Here is a 5,594-nt window from a genome sequence, read left to right as displayed (position 1 = left end):
AAGTGCAGTCCTCGTGCTGGGATTAGTGCCCTTATACAAAGAGACATGAGAGAGTTTTCATACTTTCTCTTTAATATGTGATGATACACAAGAAAGTATCCCTGTACAAACCAGGAAGAAGGCCCTCTACAGAAACCAAATCAGCCAGTGCCTTGGATTTACCAGCCTTCAGAACTGTAAGAAATAATTGTTTGTTGTCTAAGCCACCAAGTCTATGGCCTTTTTTATAGCAGCCTAAGTTATCTAAGACAATATGAAAATTAAAATTAACCAATGAAGACAAAGCAAAACAAAATGAAGTCTCTATAGGAAGAAAACTGAATGAGGAGGAAGAAGAGGAGATAATTGATAACAGCTTGACAGACTGATAGACACTGCTCCTCATATTCTCTCAAAAATGTTTTACGAATGCGAACCTAACAGACTGGCAGCTGACACAGAAATATAAACGATAGCATCTTAGACAAAAAGAACTGTTCAGCCGAGCCCATTCCAAATTGCTAATACACAGAATCATGAGTTAAATAAACAGTTCTTACTTTAAACAAATAGGTTTCTAGAGCAGTTTGTTCCATAGCAAAGGCACAACTGTGACACAAACCCAGATGGCTCTCTTTCTGTCTGTCCTAATTCCCAAGCAGAACAAGAGAAGCGATATGAGTACAGGAACATTTACCTTATTTACATTGACTTCAGCTAAATTATGGTGCAATAAAATATATCTGCCTTAACCAATAAGTCCTAAAGATTTCCTGTTCATTTCAGCTATTTGTTTAGATTCCACTTGCATTTCTTCATCACTTCATTTATATTTTACTGCACCATATTTTTTCAAAATTCACCTTAGTTCTGCCTCCATTTCATTTCCTCCTTTATTCTCAACCTAATACTTTTCTCTATTACTGTATTAATCTCATAAGGAGCAGAATCTAATCACCTAGGCAGCTTTCAGAGGTAGCTGTATACTTTAGTGTTAATTTAAATATCATGTCAGATTTTGTTAACTTTCCTTACTTTACTCTTTAATGCTCTAAAACTGGAAGCACTTTTTTAGTCTCTAATTATCTTTCTAGATTTTTCCCCCACCGTTCCCTGAATTTACTGAAAAAAAATCACATTATTTTCAAAGAATTAGCATGCAAAATATTAATTAGTATAAAATATTAACAATTAGTATGAGTATTATTAAATGTACATTACCAAATAATTATACTCTTCTAAACATTTACCAGTTGCCCCATCATTTTTTAAAATTTATCTTTCATTAACTGATAAAATACTAACTTTATCATATAGCAAATTCAAAAATTGACTCAAATTTGGTTTTGTACTTTCATGTTCAATTCCATTGACTTGCCTAGTCCTTTCATTAAGAAATCTCTTTAATTATACTGTCTTTTAATCTATTTCAACATCATCTAGAGCCTATTTGTTTCAGTTCATTATTATTCTTTTGTAGCATCTATATGACCCTTTTCATAAGATATTTTTGTTTATATAAATTTATATTATTGGTCAAGTTTCATAATAATCTTAGTGCTTCAATTAAAATTATTTGGAATTTGAAAAACTATTTAGGGGTACTAAATCATATGATTATCTTCATGAATATCAGAAATAGAATCTGACAAAATTCAATTATCCTTTATGTTAAAGCATGTATAGAAGAGGAATTTATAGATCTTCCTTTAATATAATAAAATTTACATAACTTAGTGCAGTTTCTAGCATGTCACTTGGGGAAATAACAGAGACTTTTCTGATAAAGTCAAGAAAAAGATAAAGACATAGACTTTTGTCATAATATTTAACATTTAGTTGAAGATGTTAGCCAGTGTGATTAAACAAGAAGAAACAAATACAGGTTACAAATTAAAAATTATAGATTAAAAATATTTGAGACAGATACATTTATATCAGCCATCACAATAATAGGCCATTGTGTGAAGTCACCACTCAATCCACTCCCTACTGCATCATCAGTTGATTTCTCAAAGTTTCTGCATATATTGGTTACATAAAGATGGAAGGAAGAAGGTTAGATGAGGGTAGGGTAACAGAATCTGACAAGTTCACAGATCAGAGGGGCTTAAAAGATAGTAATAAGTAAATATCTGTACAAATCTCTGGATGGAATAGATCCTATGACTCAAGATTCCACCTTTTTCACAGGTGGTGATGACTAATAATTTGAATTCTGAGGGGTCATGATAATGAAACCTGAGAATAGAGACCCTTAAAGTGTTTATTTTGCATAATCTACATATCATTAATCTTGTCTCTTAAAGATCTGCTTAAACTAGGCCTAAATCTCAATTCCATTATCCAAGAGAATATAAAATTCTGCTCACACTTTTTATTGTTTTACATAATTTTTTCAATTTTACTCACATTCTCTCTCTGCTTCTGGATCTACATGGGATTCTCTTGATTTTACTATCATTCTGCTTGGGAAGTTAGCTCCTTTTCTGGGTTTCACAAATATATCCTCTCACTAAATTTACTCTTATTAAATTTTCTGAAGATTTTTAAATAATGAAAATTAAATCATCTTCTACCATATTACTGGCTTCATATTCCACATCTTACACCTTACCCCCACCACCCCCGATATCTTTGCCTTCTAGTTTTTTCTATTGTGAAATATTTTTTTCTACATTCAGTCCTTGGGGACTTACATGCTATCCAAGGGGACTTGAAAATAATTATTAATAACAAACCTAATATCCTCCCTAAAATATGTCATGGTTGATAGCGTTTTATTTATCTTGTTTCTTTTGAATATAAAATGAAGATCATATAACTTTGGTTTTTTTGTACATGGCTGTTGGGAGCATGACTTCAGAACCTTTGCTTGTCTAAATCCTTCTGATTATAAAAGGGTTAGGTATCTGATTACCCTAACTTGCTGTATATAAAAGAACAATTACTGGTCAGCTTCACCAAAAGTTACATCAGAATTATTTAGGACGAAATCTGCTGATGCAAAGTAATTAATGAAAAAGCAGACTTTGGTCTTGGCATGCATGACCAAATATCTAAATTCATATAGCCAATAATTCATTTCTCATCACTCATATGAGGACAACAAAGAATAATAAAAAAAGACTTCCCTGTTGCCAGAGTTGCTGACAACACCAGAGATAGAATGCAGATCTTTGAATTTGTTGTCCAAAATGCTTTCTACTCTGTAGTGTCTAATCCCAAAAGGCATATTTTTCTCCTTGAAAATGCCAGAGTTAAAAAAAAAAAGCAGACTATCTTCTGACTGAGGTACAAAGAGATAAACTTCCCTTGAAGTATGAATTGAATAGCTGTTGAGAAGTATGACAAGCTCCCATTTCGATCCAGAGATTATAATTCCTATTCTCTTCAGATGAGACAGACAATTAGTCTAGCAAGTCCTATGGATAGTGAAACTTGAGAAATGGTAGAAGGGAAGATTTTTTTTAAATTTATTTTTATTTTTTAATTTTATTTTTGTTATACTTTATGTTTTAGGGTACATGTGCACAACGCACATGTTAGTTACATATGTATACATGAAGATTTGAAAGATATAATTGAAACTGCAGGGTTTTTTTAGAAATGAAATGCAAAGATTTTGTGTGTGTGTGACAGAGCAGAATGATTTATTGATTCCAAGTTACAATGTATTTCTGATGATTTATGCAAGATAATAAATGAAAATTATGGTAAAAACAACAGGTATTTAACCATATTGTCAATTAATACACATCAAAATATAATCAACAAGTTGAAAATCATGCTATTTTAAAACAGATATATCAATTAGAAAGAAACGATCTAATTTTACATTTTTTAAAATGGGAACACAGGTAATTCTCAGCCAACAAATGCAGACTAAACCCATAAGTTAGATGTTCTTAAATTGCAATGCACATCAATATTACCTGGGAAGGTTTATAAAGAACATGTACCTGGCTCCCATCCTAGACCTCTTGCCTCCAAATACCTATGGAATGAAGTTGAAGAATTCCTGTTCCGAAAATGTTCCCCAGGTGATCCTAATGCCCTACTGTTGTTAGAATTTGGTCCCTAAATACAATATTATTGATATGCTATGTTGATCTAATGAATGGGAAAGAGATTTCAGGCACCATTCACTCATTATCAGTCACTTGACAACTGCTGATGCCTGTACACTGACATCTCCAGGTGGTGAGTGATATAGGGCATGATTATTCACAAGGACAGAGGATTTTTCTGTTGAATGAATTTTTATCTCTACCTCTATTTTTCATTTTAAAGAATCTGATTACTCCTTTGTGTTCATTCATGGTAAATTGACTACTTCAAAGAAGTTTAAATCGATTTTATTGATTAGAGATGCTCAGAGAAATACTACAGAGTAAGAACGTGAAGTGAATTGACCAAAACTCTTATATCAAATATGATTTAGATAATAAAATAAAGCTTATATAAATTAGTTAAAAAACAACTAATGATAATTTTATAGTGTTTTCTTTATTGTCATTACCTATCAAAATGCTGATTGCTATATTTAAAGTCATAGAATGAGTAAGTAAATTATTGTGCAATTAAATCTTGTATTTATTTGGATCTTTCTAATCTAAAGGAGAAAACTATGAAGACTGAGACTTTTTAACTTTTTCATATTAAAATTACAAAAATAGAAGTAAAACTAATAGCACTTATCTTTTCCTTACGTAGCTTCAACAATCTGTCATTTTTGTATTATCTAGTTTCATACACACTTCATCCTTCCACGAGATTGTTATGTTTCTTTATTACTTTTTAAGATAAATTTCAGAGGCATTTTGCAAGTTTTGAGAGGGTAACGATAAGTTCTAAAACCACTCTCAAGCTCAATAATTTGCCAGAAGAAATGACAGAACTCACTGAGCAATTATATTCAAAGTTATGGTTTATTACAACAAAAGGATAGACTAAAATCAGCTAAGGGAAGAGTCTGGAAAGATTCCAAATGCAAAACTTCCATTGTTGTCAGGGAGACATTACAGTCTGGCTTTGATGTGCGACATTAGGAAAAACTATTGCCAACCTAGGGAACTCACCCAAGCTAAAAAGTCTGAAGATTTGATTGCCCCTTCATTATGGAGGCATGATTGACTAATTTTCCACATGGTTGAACTCAGTCTCTAGACCTCACCTCCATCCTTGGTGGTCTGGCTGATAAGGTGTGACCCAAAGTGTCCACAACTTTAAAAATTCCAAGAGTTTAAGAGGTGACCTCCTAGGAATTAAGGACAAAGATGAGATCTCTCTTTAAGAAAGGATAAATTCTGCATGCATGTATTATGATGTATAAATCTTAGCTATTCAATTTTGTAACTCATGTATCTATCACAATAAACAAATTTTTCATCTTTCTAGGAAATTTTCTTGATTTCTTTTCTACTCAGATCAATCCCCATTTTGACTACCAGTATTTTTTTTCTTTAAGTTCTGGGGATACATGGGCAGACCGTGCAGGTTTGTTACATAGGTATACATGTGCCATGGTGGTATGCTGCACCCATCAATCCGTCATCTACATTAGGTATTTCTCCTAATGCTATTTCTCCCCTAGCCCCCTACTCCCCGACAGG

Source organism: Homo sapiens, chromosome 6, assembly GCF_000001405.40.
Source record: "Homo sapiens chromosome 6, GRCh38.p14 Primary Assembly".
In the NCBI taxonomy this organism is placed as follows: Eukaryota; Metazoa; Chordata; class Mammalia; order Primates; family Hominidae; genus Homo; species Homo sapiens.
This window is presented reverse-complemented; position numbering follows the sequence as displayed.